At 39.1% G+C, this 21448-nt stretch overlaps 1 protein-coding gene and 1 long non-coding RNA gene across 60 annotated transcripts in view, besides 4 other annotated features; one reads left to right on the top strand and one right to left on the bottom strand.

Moving 5' to 3' along the window:
• The window catches only part of FAM135A (family with sequence similarity 135 member A), a 147667-nt gene extending 127677 nt beyond the window's left edge, over positions 1–19990 (bottom strand). For 18 of the 59 annotated variants that reach the window (NM_001330999.3, XM_005248749.2, NM_001330998.3 and 15 more), the window contains exons 1-4: positions 19796–19990; positions 18122–18207; positions 6966–7059; positions 5079–5194 (exon numbers count right to left, since the gene is read on the bottom strand). In NM_001330999.3, the coding sequence (NP_001317928.1) occupies positions 5079–5155 (77 nt within the window). In that variant the 5' untranslated portion in view covers positions 5156–5194; positions 6966–7059; positions 18122–18207; positions 19796–19990. Of the gene's footprint in view, positions 1–5078; positions 5195–6733; positions 6929–6965; positions 7060–15005; positions 16219–18121; positions 18208–19795 lie in introns of all 59 variants that reach the window. The other 41 variants (NM_001438502.1, NM_001438510.1, NM_001438517.1 and 38 more) reach the window with 9 other exon arrangements.
• Positions 11610–11659: an enhancer, noted in NCBI's record as "active region_24732". NCBI's record gives its function as "activates an Ori minimal core promoter by ATAC-STARR-seq in GM12878 lymphoblastoid cells {active_cell/tissue: GM12878}" and the evidence as "EXISTENCE:reporter gene assay evidence [ECO:0000049][PMID:35858748]".
• Positions 11740–11839: an enhancer, noted in NCBI's record as "active region_24731". NCBI's record gives its function as "activates an Ori minimal core promoter by ATAC-STARR-seq in GM12878 lymphoblastoid cells {active_cell/tissue: GM12878}" and the evidence as "EXISTENCE:reporter gene assay evidence [ECO:0000049][PMID:35858748]".
• Positions 19474–19623: a silencer, noted in NCBI's record as "silent region_17318". NCBI's record gives its function as "represses an Ori minimal core promoter by ATAC-STARR-seq in GM12878 lymphoblastoid cells {active_cell/tissue: GM12878}" and the evidence as "EXISTENCE:reporter gene assay evidence [ECO:0000049][PMID:35858748]".
• On the top strand, positions 19540–20670 carry FAM135A-AS1 (FAM135A antisense RNA 1). Its single transcript, NR_147708.1, has 2 exons — positions 19540–19661; positions 20436–20670. It is a non-coding gene; the product is annotated as an FAM135A antisense RNA 1 (long non-coding RNA).
• Positions 19964–20183: a silencer, noted in NCBI's record as "silent region_17317". NCBI's record gives its function as "represses an Ori minimal core promoter by ATAC-STARR-seq in GM12878 lymphoblastoid cells {active_cell/tissue: GM12878}" and the evidence as "EXISTENCE:reporter gene assay evidence [ECO:0000049][PMID:35858748]".

Raw genomic sequence — 21448 nt, 5'->3', positions numbered from 1 at the left:
TTAAGGAATATTTGATTATTACAAGGATGGCCTTATGTCCTGGTTTGCCTGAAGCCATCCTGGTTTTCATTTGTCTGGGCCTATTATTAACAGTGCCTCCTTTCATGTTAAAAAGTATCTTGAAGGCCGGGCGCGGTGGCTCATGCCTGTAATCCCAGCACTTTGGGACGCCGAGGCGGGCGGATCATGAGGTCAGGAGATCAAGACCATACTAGCTAACATGGTGAAACCTCGTCTTTAATAAAAATACAAAAAATTAGCTGGGTGTGGTAGTGGGCGCCTGTAGTCCCAGCTACTCGGAAGGCTGAGGCAGGAGAATGGCATGAACCCGGGAGGCGGAGCTTGCAGTGAGCCGAGATCAAGCCACCGCACTCCAGCCTGGGCGACAGAGCAAAGACTGTCTTAAAAAAAAAAAAAAAAGTATCTTGATTTGGTCAATAAATTATACGGACATCCTAGCATAACAGGGTGTTTAAAAACTTATTTTTGTAACTTAAATTACTTATACCATTTATAAACTGTATAAGTTTTTAAACTAGATGCTTTATATTGTCCTTTTAACTCTAAAAAAAGTCCCTACAATTCAGACAAATTAAAAAGAAAAATTATTTTTCTTATTAAGTTATCATCTTAAATATGGCAGTATAAGTACTTCTGAATTGTAGGTGTATTTTAGGATCCTAAAGAGAATTATAAGGAAAAAAAAGTCGATGTCTTCCTTTATATTAAAAAAAAAAGTTAGAAAATATAAGGGAAGAAAATATTTTAATCAGAAAAAAGAGATATAATCAATTTATCTATAAATAATCCAATGCAATGAGATAAGCACTAAAGCAAAGCAATCTATTCTTCTGTTCTTATTTCATACCTTATTTATTTCCCATACTCTGTTAAGTAAAACACAATTTAAAGGATCACCTTAGGTAGGGGGCTATAAAGAAGTAAGGATGTCTATTTATTAACAATGTTTTGTTAAGTTCATTATAAGAATGGTCTTCAAGAAAGACAGAAAGTTGCAAAGGGCCACAAAAACATATTCTCACAGATGAACAGGAAAAGCGCTTTACTTAACAAATTTAATTTTGCTCTTCTATAAGTTATTTTTCAAGTGTAATAATAATGTAGATCCTTTTCCTGCTTTGATCTAGCATAAAAATGAACTATAATAGTAATAAATCTTTTATAAGTAGTCATAAGAGAAAGAGATGCTCTTTAGTATCTTTACAGAAGTGCAGCAGGTAGAGATTAAGTATACATCTATTTTTTCCATTGTCAGAAAACTTGAATTTATTTTTTTAGAGGAAGAATAAAATACTGAGGTTAGTGGCTAAAAGAATGTGTTTGTGAATATTAAGTTATTACATTTCTATCCTCTATTCTTTAGAACACATTTATAGCATTGATTGTTAATACACAACACCGTGTTAAAATTGTATGAGGTAAAACTTAACATGATTTTATTAAGCAAAGTGATTTCACATCATGACTTTTTTGTCTAAAGAGTAACACTGTTTTACTTGGAAAGAACAATTTTACATGTTGATATTATGTTTATATTACACATTAAAATATTTTATAATTTTATAATGATATATTTTATATATAGGTCAGAGGACACTACATATATTTGAAAACTATTTTATAAACAGTAATGGTTTCCAAATAATCATTTTTTTCATGAATACAACTTAAGCAAGCAATTTGTTTTCTAGCTAGTCTTCAAATCTAACTCCAATACTGAATTGCTTTTTACACATTTAGCTTGTCAAAATCATGTTGTTAAAAACAAACCTACAAAATGTAACCTGTAGATTGATTTTAAAAATGTCACCTATATTTTGCTCTTCCTTATATTCAGACCTCTTACAGTGTGACTCCCATTAAGAAGTGGAGTGTAGTTGCCCACCTTTTAAATGTGGGCTGGCCTTACTTATGACTTGCTTTGGCCAGTATCTTGTGGTGGAGGTGTAACAGTGCATCATTTCCAAGCCTAGATGATATGAGGTCTGCTGGCATGGTTTCTCTCTTCTGTGGACCCATGCCTTGTCCATGAGAATAAGCTGCAGGATGAGAGACTGTGAAACAGAACTGAGACTGCCCAGCTGAGGCCACTCTGCATCCAGCTAGTGCCCGGCCAATCTGCCATCTGACTGTGCATTCATGAAGTGAGCCCAGCAAAGATGAGCCAAGCCACCCTAGATCAGTAGAACCGTTGAGATGATCCACAGACTTAGGAGCAAAAATAAATGTTTATTGCCATAATGCCATTGAGTCTTTGTGTTTGTGGTTAGCTGCATTATTGTGACAATAAACAATACAGAAATCGATACCTAGAAGTGGTGTGTGCCATAACAAAAACTTAAAATAAGTGGCATTAATTCTGGGGCCAAACTAACAGTTACAGCTACAAATGGTGGAAAAATAATGAGGAAACTATAGGAGATGAGGAAAATGGTAACCATGTTATGGAGTGATGTAATATGCTATCTTACACTAACCTGGAATAATTCAGAAAATGTATCTAAGAAACTTTTGGACTTAGCAAATTAATTTCCAAGCAGAATACCAAAAACGCCAACTGGTTGCTCCTAGCTAAGTATAAGGTTCTGCAAGATAGAGATGAACTAAAGAAAGAGCTAGTCATTTTATAAGCAGAATCTAGAAGAAATCTAGAGCAACTAGAACTTGCTGGGTTGGAAAATAAAACTGTTTCATCTGCAGTCTCCTGAAAATAAAACAAAGCCCTTGAACAAAGATCAACTCAAGGATGTAGCTGTAGCTTCCTTTCTTAAGATCACTAAAAGAATTAAGATGTAAGCAGACGTTCTCAGCATGACAAAAGGATTTTTAGAAAGTTGATGGGCATGATCCCACAGAATTCTAATCCCCAAGTAGCAGAGATTGGTAGATATGCTATCTAGAGAGCAAGCATGTCTCAAAAACAACTGTGGCTGTGGGCTTTAAAGCATGGAATAAACTTATCAGCCATATGGACAGTCCACAAAGTTTTTTAAGTGAATTGTACTGGCCAAAAAGCCACCAGCCTGACTCGTGACCTCGCACTGTGACTTGCTTGGCCAATGGAATGCAGTGGAAGTAACAGTGTGTCAATTGAAGGAGACTTGCATCTTCTGCTCTCTTTCTTTTTTTGTTTTTTTTTTTAGATAGAGTCTCACTCTGTTACCCAGGCTGGAGTGCAGTGGCACCGTGTCGGCTCACTGAAACCTACGTCTCCTGGGTTCAAGCAATTCTTCTGCCTCAGCCTCCCGAGTAGCTGGGATTACAGGCGTCCACCACCACACCTGGGTAATTTTTATATTTTTAGTAGAGATGGGGCTTCACCATGTTGGCCAGGCTGGTCTCGAACTCCTGAACTCTGGTGATCTGCCCGCCTTGGCCTCCCAAAGTGCTGGGATTACAGGCGTGAGCCACCGCACCCGGCCTTCTGCTCTCTATCTCAGACTCTTGTCTCCACCATGAGAACAAGTCCAGGCTGGCCTGCTAAGAAATTAGAGACCATATAGAGCAGACCACAGCACAGGCACAGCTGTTTTTATTTTTTCAACAAGATGGCAAGGTCAAGGCAAAAAAAAAAAATAGAGAATCTCTTGCTCTACTTCTTCTGTTAGTCCCACTGCCACCACTCTTTGTATAGATCTCCAGATTTATATCTTGAGTTACTATCAAGTGCCTCTAAACTGTTTCCTAGGTTTCTATTTCTTCTACACAACCATCAGTCTAATGTATCATAATATCCATCATGTTAGTAAGTGCTTATTGTAATAATAGTGATAAAATTTTATCCTTACTTAGAAACTATTGATGGTTACCCAAATCCCTAGTGTCAACTCTTCTCTAGACATTAAAGTCTTTCACAAATATAACCTTGCCATTCTTTACTACCTTTCTTCTGTAATTCTCCTAGAAAATATCCAATTTCCTAAATATTCTTTTTTTTTAATTTTTATTTTTTTTAACGTTCCTTGAGATGGAGTCTTGCTCTGTTGCCCAGGCTGGAGTGCACTAGCGCAATCTCGGCTCACTGCAAACTCTGTCTCCTGGATTCAAGCGATTCTCCTGCCTCAGACTCCTAAGTAGCTGGGATTACAGGCGTGCACCACCACGCCCGGCTAATTTTTGTATTTTTAGTAGAGGTAGGGTTTCACCATGTTGGCCAGGTTGGTCTCAAACTCCTGACCTCTGGTGATCTGCCCGCCTCGGCCTCCCAAAGTCCTGGGATTACAGGTGTGAGCCACCACACCTGGCCCCTAATTATTCTTAAAAATAACATGTTCGTTTCTATTTCCAACACTTGATTCATGTGGCTGTACTGAATCATGCTGTTCTCTTCTACAAATATGATCTTTCACTTTATACTTTGCCTATCCAAGTCTTAGCCATACTTTGATCTTATCCCTCCATAATGCCTTTTCTAACATACTAAACCAGAAAGACGTCTTTCTGTTGATTCCTAGAGCACCTCTTATACATACTTATTGATCTTAGCCAAAACGCCAAGAAGTTATTACATTGCTTTATAGGTACCATTGATAAAGATTATTGTTTTAGTGTTTTCGTGAAATAGTGAAAAGATGAAAACAAATGAAATACCCAACAGTGGGTGACTGTTAAATTATAACATGTCACAGTGTAATAGTTAATAATTAAAAATGATATTATAAAACTACATTCACTGATACAGAAAAATCAAGTGAAATAAGCTTCATCATGTATGTTTGTATTTCTATTTAGTTGCTTTGTATGCATGTCTTATTTTTTCCCATTATACTATAAGATTTTAAAGAGCAAAAATTAGACCTTATACATTTACAGTAAAGTCCTCTCAAGGCTCACTACAAATTCATAAACACAGGTTCAGTATATCCAGCATTATCATTAAATTCATGTGAATAATCCCAAAATATCTATTTAATAAATAAAATTTATCTGAGAAAATAATTACTTGAATATAGTTCATTGTTTTCCTTATATATGCTGGAATAAAAATATGTAATTAAATTTAAATTTAAACTGTACATCTTATGCAAAATATATCATTTTCACAATAAAATACATACCCTCTCTGAAACAAATCCACATTGTAGAACTTGTTTAGCTCCACAGAGAATTCTACCATTGCTTGAACTTCAGTCATTTTTAATTTATACCCAGAAGACTATTCTGATAACAGCACCTTTGTTAAGGAAAGGGAAAAAATCATGAGAAGCGTAACAAAAATGCCAACTTATAAAAATGCTATTATTTATACATATTTTAGAATATGACACATAGGCAGAAAATAAAAACAAATTATTTCAGTGTACTTAACAACCTAACCCAACTAAATAGGACCAGAATGTATACTTACTAAGCTGCACTACTCTCTATAATTTAAGATTGTCCTGTCAGAAAGCTTTTTCTAAGATTTGTTACCCTTGATGACATTTATGTGATAATAAATAATACAACATATTGCTAAAAGAAACTCAACTTTATCTCTTATAGATAGGAACTTTTTTAATAGTGAAGATATCTAATATTCTCTTCTTGTGCTACATTGCACATGTAAGTAACTCCAGAGTCAAAAAAAAATTAACACTCTTCAATCCCCAGTTAAGCTGATGAAAGGTTTTTCTTTAAGTGAAGAAAAAAATTCTTAAATCACTTTTCACTTTTAAATTTAAAGAGAAAGAGATTTTTTCCTTTATTACAAATTCTAAAGTATTCAATTGCAAAGAAGTTGAAGAAAAGAAAATAGACAAGCACAAATAGAAAACATTCACAATTCCATCCACTGAAATACATACTTTGGTACGTTCTTCATGTGTGTGCATTTGTAAAATTTTTTAATAGTGGGATCAAACCACATGTACATTTTATCATCTGCTTATTTCACTTAATTATTCAGTGAACATATATGTCAATAATGTAGTTTTACAATATTAATTTTTTTTTTTTTTTTTTGTGAGACAGAGTCTCGCTCTGTCACCCAGGCTGGAGTGCAGTGGCGCGCTCTCGGCTCACTGCAATCCCCGCCTCCGGGGTTTAAGCCATTCTCCTGCCTCAGCCTTCTGAGTAGCTGGGACTATAGGCATGCGCCGTCATGCTCAGCTAATTTTTGTATTTTTAGTAGAGATGGGGTTTTGCCATGTTGGCCAGGCTGGTCTTGAACTCCTGGCCTCAAGTGATCTGCTCACCTCAGCCTCCCAAAGTGCTGGGATTACAGGCATGAACCACCGCCCCCGGCCATTAATTGTTAACTATGACACTGGGAACATGTTATAATTAAACAATCCCCTATTGTTGGGTGACTTCAGTAGTTTCCATTTTTTCACTATTTAAAAAAAATTATAACAATCATCCTTATCAACAGTACATATTTAAAGAATAACTTCTTGGACTGTTAAGTAAGCTAAGTGTAGAAAGCAATTTAGAGTAAGAAAGTGTTGGAAGACAATTCTTCACAAATCTCTCATGTTTCTACACGTCTCACAAGCAGAGACATAGACAGCCTTTGTTCCAGACTATCTTTTCACGGATGTTTGTATAATGAACAATCTTAGAAGTCAGAGATAGTGTCTTATACTAGAACAAAGGGCAGATTTGTCTACTGTTCTGTATAATACAGATAAAGCCTCCCTCCAGGAAAAAAGTCAGGCAGGTTTACTGTCCATTCTAAAAGACTCAGGTTCCCCTAATTCAGGGTTCTTCTCCTGTAACACAAACTACTCACATACAGGTGTCACCTGGTACTCTTGCTAGTGCTATGAGCATAAACAATCCTCGACCTTGATCCATGACTCTCATGTCCTGCCAACATCCATGGCACCGTGGCAGACTAACTTGTCAGCTTGCAAGTGGGGTAAAATCTCAGACCCTTCCCAATTCTTGAAGCAGTTCTTCATAGAAATTTGGCAAATACTCGAATCTATTAAGAATTAAGTGCAAAAAAGTTATATTCTTACCTCTGCTTTTCAAAGCCTCATTTTTAACATTATTAAATAACCAATCTTGTACTTCCAGTTACTGATTCCCGTTGTTAAAAATACACCGTTCCCCCTATGAGAAAAAAAAGTAACATCTCAAACCAAATAGTAGACATAAAAAAGTCTGTCTTAAGGAAACCTATGTTTTGTTAGTTACTTACTATTTTCAATTTATATAAAAGATATATGTCCTTCGAAGGCTTATGAATAAGTTTTAGAGACTTTTTTCATTCACAATTTCAATATCAATATTAACTATTATATCTCTATTAAGGATTCACTTACATATAATTCAAAGTACAATAACAAATAGAGTACTTTCTTAGTTCAGTAGGAACCCTCATGAATACACAAAACATTATAAGCTCATTAATTTTTTTTTTGTTGTTGTTTTTTTTTTTTGAGACGGAGTCTCGCTCTGTCGCCCAGGCCAGACTGCGGACTGCAGTGGCGCAATCTCGGCTCACTGCAAGCTCCGCTTCCCGGGTTCACGCCATTCTCCTGCCTCAGCCTCCCGAGTAGCTGGGACTACAGGCGCCCGCCACCGCGCCCGGCTAATTTTTTGTATTTTTAGTAGAAACAGGGTTTCACCTTGTTAGCCAGGATGGTCTCGATCTCCTGACCTCATGATCCACCCGCCTCGGCCTCCCAAAGTGCTGGGATTACAGGCGTGAGCCACCGCGCCCGGCCCTAAGCTCATTAATTTTTAAGAGGTGGAACTCACCATTTTAAAGTAACTCCCTGAGTACGTATATATGTATGTGTGTGCATGTATGCATATATGTATGTATGTGTGTATAAAGAACTATTTAAAATACTTTGACACAATGATTGCTTCAATGTGCTATGGATAGTTTTCCTCACATTTCAAATACTGCTTAAATTTTAAAAAAATCTATCTTTTGTCCTTGGTATAATTATTTTAGGTACTAAAAATGTTGGAATAAAGACCACGTTCACTCTTTGATACAGAGTTTTTCTTCTCTCCATTATAAAGATGTAGACTTTACCAGCTCCCATAACTGCTATTTTAAACTTTAATAGTCACATCAAAAGATTTTCTGGTAACTATTTCTAAGATCAAACAATGCTATCTTTATATAAGATATTCCCCATTTTGTGGAAATGATGTCGAAGATAGCTTCTCCTGTACATATATTCTTGTGTGCAGGGTTTAGATTATGTTCTGGTTTTGATTCTAAGTAAAGTTTGGCCAAGTCTCTATGCCTTAACTTACTCAGGTATAAAATGGGTATTTGTTCATTCAAACATTTATTGAACACCTACTATAGGCTAGGAATTGTAGTAAGTATGAGGTATAGCTAAGTTCTTGATCTCAAAAGTTAACTAGCCATCAGAAAGAGGTATACTCTGTGTGTGTGTGTAATATGTATTTTATATATATAAATATATATTAGATATATAGAATATATATATGAATAGCATAATGCTTAAAATATAGGTTTGGGATTTGGGTCCAGATAGCACCCATACCACCTAACTCAGTAAGCTGGCCTTTTCCTTAATATAGAAATTAATATCAGAATTAAGATACTGCTATAACAAAATCCTAAAACGTGGTACTAGCTTAGTAATTAGGTAGCAGGCAAAAGGAGAACATACTACTACGATACTAATAACCACTGTTATGTGGAAATAAAACAATTGATTAAACTGTTGCCTACAATAATCTGCAAAACTAGTGCCCATAAAAAGCCCATAGTCCCAGAAAAAGTACATGAAAAATGCCACAATACCGGGTGTTGGTGGTTCTTCGCCATGTTTACTCAAGCAAGAATTGGCTAGTTTGTAAGCAAAGATGGAAAGAAATAAGGCCGCTTAAATGTGGGGCCTTGCAGCCAATACCCCATGTCAGGTTTAGTGCCTTGGTCAAAGGAATTCTTGACAAAACAAAGGGATCCAGCTCTGCAGTTAAGATTAGATTAAGGATGCTGCTATCCCACCAATACTTGTTGTTTCAAATAGTTTTAAGACAGTGACCATTAAAATGAGGGATGAGGATGTGCTTCATTAAAATGAGGCCATCAAAAGATGTTGGGTGCATAGACAGAAATAAATAAGGCAGGCTTAAGAACCACATCCAGAAAATAACTTTGGTGTAGTTACTGGCACAGAGAACTGAATGGAGAGAAACGTAAAAGAATCCTATTATGTTTCTGACGGAATAGTATTTGTCAAATAAATTATAAGCTAGGGTGCAAAGGCTTGTGACTGTGTAACTTGCAAGCTGGAAAACCTGCAGTAGCAAGAAGCAGGCTATGAAAACTGAATAGCCTTCAAAGTGGGCAAACTTTCAACATCAACTTCAGATGTGGCCACAGAGGTTAATGTAAGGAAGAAACACCCAGACAGCAAAGACAGGGATCTTAATGCAATGAATATTGACATTCATTCTTACCAGAAAGCAGAACTAAGGATATTAATCCACTGCGAGGGCATGAGATCTTCATCATTCTCATGAAAAGAGTTTTTTCATTGTTTATTTTCCCAAATGGGAGATTTTATTACTGTTTTCCTGTTTCTGATCCACTATAATATGTTGGGTATGTGTGGGAGGGATGGAGGAGGAGTAGATAACTGTGATTTGTTTATAGGTCACTGGACTTGCAGATCTAAAGTACTGTGCCTCTCAGTGAGCTTGGATTAATGCAACTAATGGATGGTACTATGGGTTGTCTCCCTTGAGGAAGAAATATAGGAATATTATCAACAGGTAGGATGAAGGCCAAAGTGGCAGACTGTGGTAGACTGCTTGTCACATCTGTTTTCCCTTCCTTTTAGCCAAATGGTCACCCAGCCTGAGACTATATTTCCCAACCTCCCTTGATGTCAAGTGATCCTATCCATGGAATGTAAACTGAAGTGAAACATGTAATATCTGCTTCACTTGTTTAAAAGGAAATTCTTTGCTCTGGACTTCATCTGCTTCCCTTTTTCTTACAGGCTGGAATACCAACTTGACAGTGTCCCTAGTTTTGATCACATAGATTAGGACCAAGTCCTCAAGAACGGTAAAGCAAAAAAATGGACAAATTCTGGATTACCGAATGTCTTCCCTACCTAGACTGCTCAGACTTTCATGTCTCGTAACTCTTTGTTACAGCAGCTATACCTACTCTATACCCTAACTAATATATTCCCCCTCTTCAGGCTATTTTCAAAAAACCAGCTTTTGTCTCTCTCCTCTGTTCCAAACCCTCTGTGGCTTCCAATCTTACTGCCTTAAAATGGCTTATAAAATTATATGATGTAATCTGAATCTTCTCTGACTTCATCTCCTACGATTCTCCTCACTCCCATCATACTTATTTCCTTTCTACTCTTTGAACGCATGAAATATATTCCTGTCTCAGGGCCTCTGCACTCGTTGTTCCCTGGAACATTCTTCTCTCCAGATATCCACAGGACTCACTCCTTCAGTTCCCTCTGGCCTTGACTCAAATACCAGCTTCTCAATTAGGCCTTTTCTGGCTGCACTATCAAAAATATTAATTCTTTATTCCTGGCATACCATATCTCTTTAGTCCTTTATTTTTTCCTCAGCACCTATCCCCACCTAACATACTAAATATTTTACTTATTAGTCTTTAATGTTTCTCCTCCACTAAAATGAAAGTTCCACGAAGGCAGGACATTCTGACTACTTTGTTCACTGCTATATTCCTATTGTCTGGCACATAGTACTCAACTTAATATTTAAGGAAAAATAAATTAGCATTAAAGATTCCATAAATAGTAACTATTATTACTTGTCTTCAATTGAAACTCAACCAACTTGGAGAAAGGAATTATTACACTGATATACTGAAAGCAGAAATATGCATGAACAAATTTTGGTGATAAAATTCCTTTATCAGTATAAGTTCAAGGCCTGTTTGCAGTTTCTTCCACTCTTACTCTTGTATCCTGTTGTGCTTTTTGTTCTATTGTTGCTGCCTAATTTCCTTTAATCTACCTCTTTTGTATTGATTATCCCCTAAATAGAAACATACATGTACATATATATACATAATGATGCTGACAAATCTGTTTTCCACTACCTCCCCTCTGCCTAACAGAAGGAATATTTTTATTTTTGTAGTAGAAGAAAAAATACAAAAAAGGGACTAAAGGAAAAGGAGAGCAGGCAAAAGAGAGCAAGGGAAAAAAAATTCAGAGGACTGTTGGAGTGAAAGGGGATCTGTTTGATCCTCTTCTTAGAAACTACTTGTTTTCCAGCTATAGGGAGCAATGGCTACTTAGCTCCAGTCAGTTCTTGCTGGCGTAACACTATCAGGGTCTTCTAAATTTTCAAGAGGTAGTTGGAAGTCTTTTTTGTCCCTAAAGGTGAAATCTCCTTAATTTTAGATGCCACCAACTAGTTATAAAAACTAAACAAACTGTGTATTTCTAACAAAATTCAACAACAGAGCAAATTCATTCTGTGGGCGAACAGTGCAAAATCTCTTGCTTACACAGATTCTTAACGCCACTTATGAACCAAAAAAACTCAGGTCTGTCATCTCAAGAAGTTGCAGAAAGAGCTTTTTTCCTTTTACCCAGATGATGCACGGCAGATTCTCCATTGCAAGGAACTCTCTGTATCTACAAGAAGCTAAGAGTTTCATGACCCTCCTGCACAGTCTGCTGGCTGGTTTGGAACCTGTTACTTTAAACCTATGCCTTTGAAATGACTGGAATCAGCTGACTTACCGGAGACTGAATTGTTCATTCTGTTCTACTGGCCCTGGCAAAGTGACATAAAACTGAAATCATCTGGAGGTCTATTCAAATGGGGCTCCTTACTGGGTCATATCCCAGGTCACTAAGTGAGAATCCAGCCAAGTAAACTACAAACACCAATCCAAAAAAGCTAGAGGGGGATCCCAAACAGGAAATGACTCTGAAACTAAGTGAGAAACTTACGTGAAAAGCCCTTAGAGACAAGAAGGGATTTGATTTCTCTGCCAGTCAAACCTGATAGGGTAAACAATCTGACAACTACCTTATTAATACCTTGGGGAAAGTTAGCTTACTCTCAAAGAAACAAACTTACTGATTAATCTGAAAGACATTCTTGGTCCTCTAGAGCTGCTCTGTCCAACATGGTGGCCATTGTAACATGTGTCCACTGAACGAGTGAAATGTGACTACTGTGACTGAAAAACTGAATTTTTAATTTTATTTAATTTTAAATTAATTTAAATTTAAATCCAAACACAGAAGCAGTGTAAAATATTTTTCCATTAAACATAGCTTTATCATTTTGATGGGATTACATTTTACCTTAATAGTTAAAAATGTAGAACACTAAAAAAAAGTAGTGTGGGCCAGGCGTGGTGGCTCACACCTATAATCCCAGCACTTTGGGAGGCTGAGACAAGCAGACTGCTTGAGCTCTCAGGAGTTCGAGACCAGCCTGGGCAACATGGCAAAACCGTGTCTCTATATAAAATACAAAAATTAGCTGGGTGTGGTAGTGCACACTTGTGGTCCTAGCTACTCAGAAAGCTGAGGTGGGAGGACTGCTTGAGCCCAGGAGGTTGAGGCTGCAGTGAGCTGAGATCACGCCACACACTCCAGCCTGGGCGACACAGTAAGACTCTGTCTCCAAAAACAAAAAAAAAAAAGTAGTGTGTGCTGAGGTATGCTGTAAGTATAAAGTATACAAAGAATTTCAAAGACTTAGTACAAAAAAGAACATAAATATCTCATTAATATGTTTTTAAAATATTTATCACATCTTGAAATAATGTTTTGAAAATATGGATTAAATTACTATTAAAATTAATTTTACTTATTTTTAATTTTTTAAATGTGGTTATTAGAAAAATTTAAATTATACATCTCACATACTTCTATTGGATAGCATAGTCTAGGAATACCAAGCCATCCCTTTAACTGCTGGAGTGTATAGTTAACTCCTTCAAATATAGTACTAAGTACATAAAACCATACAAAGTTCCTAAGACTACAGGCATCTTCGCTCCCATCAGATCAGCTGAGTTACATCCAATATCCACAAAGGAGAGTCCAGGCATGGATATCTGGAAAAATGTGGGAGACGTTCCTGCACCATCCACAGTGATCCTAAAACAATAGCTAACTACACCTTGCACATAGTCAGAATTCATGAGTGCTTCAGAACCTAAAAGAGGAAATGGACACATCCAAAACTAAGAGACACAGGTCCCTCAAGATGGACTGGAGACCACAGGGAATGATCAGATTCTCTCACAGAAATCATCAAACAGCCTTGACTCCTGAATTATGAACCCACAGATGCCCTGAGGATGTTCTTTCTCCTAAGCTAGAGGGTAAAGAAGTTGAACAAATTGGAGATTCCAGACACTCCCTTTTGTCACTCTAAGGAAAAACGGTACTGCTTCCATAAACTATGGTGACAACAGCTCCAGTTTCTACTTCCAAGTTAGCATCCATGAAACAAATTGGTTCAAAGCCCAAAATACTGATAGTCTGAATAATGATGCCCAAAAGATACCACATAAGGCAAAAGTCGCCTACAGACCGAATTAAAAACGCTTAAAAATCCCTTAGGCCTCATGTTAGCAACGAATATATCACTCTCATTATGCACAATATATTCACTTTTTCCTTTAGCTTTAAGAAAAAATTCGATTTCTTCACCTGAACACCAGAGAATGTAGTAAACGTGGATTCAGGGGCCATATTGTACAAAAAATATACATACTTTGAAATGTTCATTCAATGTAATGAGAGGCTCACATTATGAGAGACATATGAGAACTGATACCAAATGAAGGAACAGCAGATTCACACACAATTAGATGAGGGGCTTACACTATGACAATATGTGGGAACTGAGACTGACATTCCAGATCTGAGACCAACCGAGGGAAAAACACGTAATCTGCATACTATTTAATTAAATTCAAGTTTGCTAAACAGAAATAAGATGGGAATGATGGGAACAGAGAGATGTTCTAAATCTAGAAGGAGGTTAATGCAGTACATTTAATACTAGGTAGTCTAATTTTGCATTGATGTTCTTGGGCCTTCTCTAAAGGAATAAGCAAGAAGCCCAAAACAGGAATACTTTTTTTTTTTTTTTGAGACGAAGTCTCGCTCTGTCACCCAGGCTGGAGTGCAGTGGCGCTATCTCGGCTCACTCCAACTTCTGCCTCCCAGGTTCAAGTGACTCTCCCGCCTCAGCCTCCCAAGCAGCTGGGACTACAGGCGTGCGCCACCACGCCCAGCTAATTTTTGTATTTTTAGTACAGACTGGGTTTCACCATATTGGCCAGGCTGGTCTTGAACTCCTGACCTCGTGATCTGCCTGCCTCGGCCTCCCAAAGTGCTGGGATTACAGGCGTGAGCCACCATGCCTGGCCAAAACAGGAATACTCTTAGAAATCTTGAGAATGCTGTTCTGTTGTAAATAACCAAGTATTATTGTAACAGTCATGTTCTGTAGCCGACCCAGCGGAGTAGGAAAATGAGTTTCTTGGCAGAAGGTACACCTAGCTGCCATCTTTCCTAAATCCCAGTCACCTATAGCACAGAACTCCAATCAACATAAGCTCTGGCCCTTACAGTCTTTGAGCTAATCTTGACCAAGTCAGACCATACAGCAGTAAACTGCAAACAATCAGCCAGTGACATGTGGATTAGTCTTGCATCCCCAAACCTGCTATCTGGTGTAAATTCTGGCCACCTGAATTGGTTAGGTCTGTATTGGTTTGGTTCAGCCCGACTATCTGAGTTATAGTCGTATTTCTTGATTTACATTCAGTTTCCTTCTTGATTGGCTGAGGCCCTGACCTCCTGCCCAACTTTGTAAGTAAGCTCCCTCTTACAGAGACTAAACATGCTCAGTCACTGGATTATATCCCTGCTCTAAAATGACCAGGCCAGGTCAGGCACAGTGGCTCATGCCTGTAATCCCAGCACTTTGGGTGGATCACCTGCGGTCAGGAGTTCGAGACCAGCCTGGCCAACATAGCGAAACCCTGTCTCTACTAAAAGTAAGAAAATTACCTGGGTGTGATGGCACGGGCCTGTAATCCCAGCTACTCAGGAAGCTGAGGCAGGAGAATCGCTTGAACCCTTGAGGAGGAGGTTGCAGTGAGCTGAGATCACACCACTGCACTCCAGCCTGGGTAACAGAGCAGACTCTGGCTCAATAAATAAATAAATAAATAAACAAATAAATTAAATAAAATGACCAAGCCAGCTGTCACTTGCCTCACTCTGTAGATCATCATCACTCATGACCTTCTTTTGCCCTACAATCACTCACATATACAACTTTTATCACAAACATTATCTCATTTTAAAAGTGATTCACAGCAAAGGTGAGCTTAGTAGAATCATTACACTAAAGGGCACAAAGTAAGGAAAATCCCTTGTCTAGAAACTTTTGCAGCCATTCCTCACTCATCAAAATGAACTCATGAGGGCCAGCCATATGCCATATTGCATGAATTATAGAAATACTTAAGAAAAAAATAGAACACTAATTTTTTCTCTTTGGTGGAGAGGGTGAGAAAGGACATCTTCCAAAGGAAAGACAATGAGAATCGCTTTTTAGAATATAAGACAAACTATGTTTTAAAAAGCTATATGTTTCTCTGTTGATGATACCAAATATAGTAAACCTGAGGCTGTTCTAAAAATCTGGGATTCTCAATTCCAAAAGATAAAAGAGATGGTAAAGGGTATACAGGCTTCCACAGTCTTACATTTTTTATTGCCAATAAGGGCTGACCTTGCTGCTTAGACATTTATAGATAGCAGTATTTCCAATGTAAGCCCTTGACTTGCTGGCAATCTGAAGACATCAAAGAGCAAGTGTCATAGTTAACACTGCTCTAAAAACAATCATGAATGAAACAGCTGCATCCTATAGGCAACTTCAAGGGTATTTCAATAAAGGAATACTTATTCTAGTTCAGGTTAAATTAAGACCAGTAGCAAAAGAACATTTCATAACACTTAACAGAAATGTCCCAGACTACAGCCAGGCATAGTAGTTCATGCCTGTAATCCCAGCACTTTGGGTGGCTGAGGCGGGAGAATCACTTGAGGCCAGGAGTTTGAGACCTGCTGGCCAATATGGTGAAACCCCATCTCTACTAAAAATACAAAAATTAGCCAGGTGTGGTGGCCTGGGCATGTAATTCCAGCTACTTGGGAGGCTGAGGCACATGAATCGCTTGAATCCGGGAGGTAGAGGCAATACAGTGGGACTCTGTCAAAAAAAAAAAAAAAGTCCCAGTCTATTATCAATATATTTATAACATAATTTAGAAATATGTTCTATATTCTGTATGATCTCATAGAGACCTAATGCCATAAAAGGAAATATGCTATAATTTTCTCAGAATGGTTTCTCGGTTGAGAGATAGTTTATCAAATTTTTTTCATCAAAATAAGAACTACCTGAAGGGTTAGTTACTCAAGTAGGAGATGTCTCTTAATGGTATAATATGCCTGATACTTTTACATTTCTATTAGGAAAAAAGAAGCTAATATTTCTTCTAAATTTAGCACATTATCAATAACCAAGTATGTACCTGTTAACAACTGCCAATCTTTAAAAATAAAATGTGAACCTACTGTGGAGTTGTTTCACCTTATTCCTTCTGAAAAACCTAGACCTGCCTAATCACTTATGCTTTGTAACTTTTCTGAAAAACCACTGAGTCCATTAAGAATGATTTCTTCTATATTACCATTCTGCTTCTTATTCCTCTTTCTTTCTTTTAATTAGGAGAGGGTTTCGCTCTGTTGCCCAGGCTGGTCTTGAACTCCTGGCCTCAAGAGATCCTCCTGCCTCAGCCTCCCCAAGTGCTAGAATTACAGGCATGAGCCACCACACCCCACCTTATTCCTAGTCATCTCTAAACCTTCTTCCTGACAAACAACTCATGAAAAAACACTTCAAATCTATATGCCCTCAGCTCCATCCATTTATTTAAATGCACACATGTACATATAAAAAACTCAATGTTAAAGCACTTTTTCCTCAATACCTAGAATCAAAGCAAAGGAAATCCTTGGCTTTTCTACCCCCTAAACAGCCCTCACAACAAGGATTTAATGTAAACAAAATAAAGATTTTATTTAATGTAAACAAAATAAAAATATAAAACAGAAAATTAAGGATTAACTAAAGATATAGGTGTAACTCTTACATTTCCTTTCAGTGTCAACTCGTGGCAAACAAAAGGAATATCTGTTTTACAAACTGAATGCTGCAGTGTCTGTTTCACTGTGTATGAACATTAACTAATGTGTGAACATTAGTTAATGTACTAATTAGAAAACTCTAGTACATTAGAACTGCTGCTTCTCAAGGAAGCTTGCACTTCTTTCAAAGCCAGGTCATTTTATTTGGTACATCTATCTAGTACATTAGAAAAGTCTAATAGAGTGCTAGTCCACAGTTCACCAGCATTCTACTAGACTTTTCACAGAAGTCTGAAATTTAAAAAAGAAATGTTTGATTTGGGATTTAAGCAGTCAATTATACTCTTACTACACAGTCTAAAATTAAAGAGATAAAAACTAAGTATTTATATAGCAATTTTTGTCTGCGGTGGCCCTAAGCATGTTTAAATGATTAGGGCTTGCTTTGCTATTAATTACTTTACAGCTGGAGATACTGAGATACACAGGTTAAGTGGGTTCTACAAACTAATGTCATGAGTCATCATAAGAGTTCATATATTCTGACTAGAAATTCTAGTCTTCTGCCTGCTGTCCACCACAAATCCCTATTTAATTTATAAGAGCACAGGAACCAACTCACTAAAAATACCAGCAAGAATTTGTAGGCATTTACTTTTTTAAAATGAATGTTTACCTAAAAATAAAAAGACCTGGCTTTTTATTTGAAGGAAGTGCAAGCTTCCTTGAGAAGCAGCAGTTTCTTTATTTGCATTTGAAAAATCATTTTTAAAAAATCTTAAAAGCTGATGAGTGCATCACCTCTTACCATACACAATTGCTAGTTCTTCTCAAAGAAGTGTGGTTTGATGACACCAGAGCCTCCTAGTTTTACTTTAAATCACTTTGAATAAGGAACTACACTTTTTTTTTTGCCTTGGTATTTCCCTTCTTAAAACAGAAACAGAAAACTTAATTCCTACCTGACACAGACAACATAAGGAAGAATTTGTTTGTGGACTGCTTTGAGATTCCAGAACCAAATACATAATCCAGTTGATCTTCAACCCTACAATAAAGACAAACTTCACTAAACATAATTGCTTCAGCAGATGCCTTCAAAATAAGATACTATACCATTATTTATGGAAAGAGAAGTTTTATTTAAGCCAAATCTTGATCACAATGCAATGGAGGAAAAAAATTACAAAACCGTTTAGAAAGTTCTTCTGCTCAATTAAAAAATTTAATACTTCTCACGTATGTCTCCTATAAGCACACTAATTCTAAAGGTAGCAGAAATTGTATGCATTTATTAGAGAACAGAGACTCTCAGGAAAATTATGCAATCAATTGCAATAGCAAATGTATAAAACAAATTAATAATACATTTTAAAAAAGAAATTCTGTTAAATTTCATTTAAGATTAGTTCTTGGACAGCTACACCTAATGGAGGACAAGAAAATTTCCAAATTTTAAGTGTATGTTTGTAGGTCAACCTTTAACAAGTCTTAACCCATTATAGTTTCATTTAGTCTGTACTCAAGTTGCTTTCCCAGGCATGCCAGGTAAACATAATTCTTAAAAATTAAAGCTTTAATCAGTAAGTGTAACCGATTTGTTGCTACTGTCACTCTTTTGATGATACTTCCACCAACCGGTAAAGAAAGAAGAAATGTTATTAAACTGGAAGATGAACTAGAAACATTGAGTGGATACCTAGCTTAGGCAGAAAGCAGCAAGGACTAGAAGGGTATGTCACAAAGAAGTCTTCAGAGATTTAATAAAAAGTAAAACAAATGGAATGAAGTTAAGAGGCTTGACTTATACAAATGGGGGGGGGAGGGTGGAAGAGTTTTGGAGGGGAAAAAATTAAGATTAGAGACTCACTGGGTGCAGAATGGAAAAGGACGTGAGGATAGGGGCCATTAGACAGAAAGCGATGAAGCAGGGTACCAGAGGAAAGAGAAGGCAGTGAGGGTTTCCGAAGCTAAGATGGGGCATGGAATGAACTCCAATGCAAAGCGATGCTAAAGCAAAACACAATCGGCAACTAACAAAAAGGGAACCAGGAGGAAGTACCGAAAGGAGGTGGATGAGAGGAAAATAAAACCAAGGAAGAAATTATGGAGGTAACAAGAGTGAGAAACCTGGTCGGCCAGGGTAAGGAGCTCCGGACAGGGAAGAGCCAGGCAAGGGATGGAAGCACAGAGATACGCTGCTTCCCAAGGAGGGACCACCCGGGCAAAAAGACACGTGGGAGGCGCGGGATGAAAAAGCAGAACCACGAAAGCGGGTAAAGGAGGGACAGAGCGACGAAGATGGAGCAGGGGTGAAGGGCAAACACGCTAGGCGCGAGGTTCAGGAAGAACGGGTCGAGGGACGCGCGCAGGGGCAGGGGCGGCCGCGGGCACCGGGAGAGCAGCGCGCCGCGGCCCCTCGCCTCCCTCAGAGCGCTCCGCACCGCCGTCCCCACCGACCTTCAACGGGGCCGGGGCCAGGCTCCGACCGCCAGCAGTCGGGTGAGGGGCCGCGGCGGGCGAACGGCGGACGAAGAGGAGGCCGCTTCCTTCCTGGCCCCTGGGCAAGAGGGACGGAGGGAGGGGTCGTGGGTGTCGGGAGCCGGGGGAGCCAGAGGGGACAGTAAGGGGGTTACCTCTCGCCCGGCTCGGCCTCTTCCCCCGCCTGTCGAACGGAGGAGCTCGTTGTCCAGCTGCAAGAAGACGGCCCGACCCGGGTCAGCACCATCCCGCCCCGGGCCCCCTCACATCGCCATCACAGCAACCGCAAACACCGCAACCGCGGAGCCGGTTCGTCACCGCGGCTCGGCTACTGGCCCAGCGCGGCCAGCGAGCATGCGCAGTCGCCCCAGTCCCGAGGGAGCCCGGGCCAGCCGGCTATACCTGCGATCAACAGGTCCCCGGCCGCACGGCCCCGCCCCCGGCCTCTCTCACCTCCTCCTCCCGCCTCTTCCCTCCCCTCTCTGAGGCTAGGCCCCGCCCCTTCAAGCTCCGTGCCCCGCCCTTCAGGAGCTTCAACTGCCCCTCCAGCTCCAGCGCCAACTGAGATTTCGAGAGATTTGTCCTCCCTACCAGGCTCCCGTTCCCAAGTTCCCGCGAGAACGGGAGGTTTGCGTCAATAAAAGGCGCGCGTCAAGAAAAGGGGCTCGCTTGTGGGTTTAAGGGATGGAACTTGGAGGTGGTTGAAGAGTAGTGAACAAGAAGAGGGCAAAAACACGGAGTTCGAGAACTTTAGCCGTTTTTCTCACAATGTTGTTTCTCCTTTTCTCTCTTTAGCTCCTCCGTGCAGTCCCGGGTAGAGAGCCCGGTCCCTGCGCTAGTCGATTTGTGCAGTAGGAAAGGAGGCTGCAGGGGATCTGCGCCGGGGCAGGACAGATGCCTTTCGGGACCCAGTGTTTGCATCTTGGGAGATGTGGGTGCTGATCTGGTTGTTTCTTGGTTTATGACGCCAAAAAGGGCGGGAGGGGGCTGATGAAGTGAAGCCTTTCGCTAATACATTCCGTTAACAGAAGCCCACGAAGGATCATTGATTTATTTCACTCTTCCCTGTTTCTGAACCTTATCTGGCAAAAACTTTTGTGGTGCATAAAGTTCAGTATGTTGCTAAAGCTGAGTTAATGAAAGGAAAATTTCAGCTGCGACTCTTGTTTTAAAAATGAATCTAGGATGGATAGTGGTGTTGGTTGCACAACAATGAATGGACATAATGCTACTGAACTGTGCACTTAAAAATGGTTAAAATGGTAAATTTTCTGTTATGTATATTTTACCACAATAAGAATGAATTAGAAGGGAAAAGCTTTGTGCATTCATTTGAAAGTAATGGTGAGGTCTTGTAACGTAGGCCATTTAGGGGACAGGTTTTGAATATATCTTTGTACCAGTTTTTTTTTTTTTCGAGTGTGTGTGTGAGACAGAGCATTGCTCCGTCGCCCAGGCGGGAGTGCAGTAATGTGATCTCGGCTCACTGCAACCTCTGCCTCCGGAGTTCAAGCAATTCTCCTGTCTCAGCCTCCCTAGTAGCTGGGACTACAGGCGCACACCACCACGCCTGACTACTTTTTGTATTGTTAGTAGAGACGTGGTCTCACCATATTGGTCAGGCTGGTTTCGAACTCCTGACCTTAGGTGATCCACCCGCCTTGGCCTTCCAAAGTGCTGGGATTACAGGCCTAAGACACCGTGCCTGGCTTGTACCAGTTTTTACATGATTGGGTGTCCTCTTATCCTGTGAACCAATTTATTTGCATTTGTATGAATGGCCTGCTTTCCTGATTTCTAATTTGTCC

Source organism: Homo sapiens, chromosome 6, assembly GCF_000001405.40.
Source record: "Homo sapiens chromosome 6, GRCh38.p14 Primary Assembly".
In the NCBI taxonomy this organism is placed as follows: domain Eukaryota; kingdom Metazoa; phylum Chordata; class Mammalia; order Primates; family Hominidae; genus Homo; species Homo sapiens.
The sequence above is the reverse complement of the archived record's forward strand: the minus strand, read 5'-3'. Positions and strand labels throughout refer to the sequence as shown.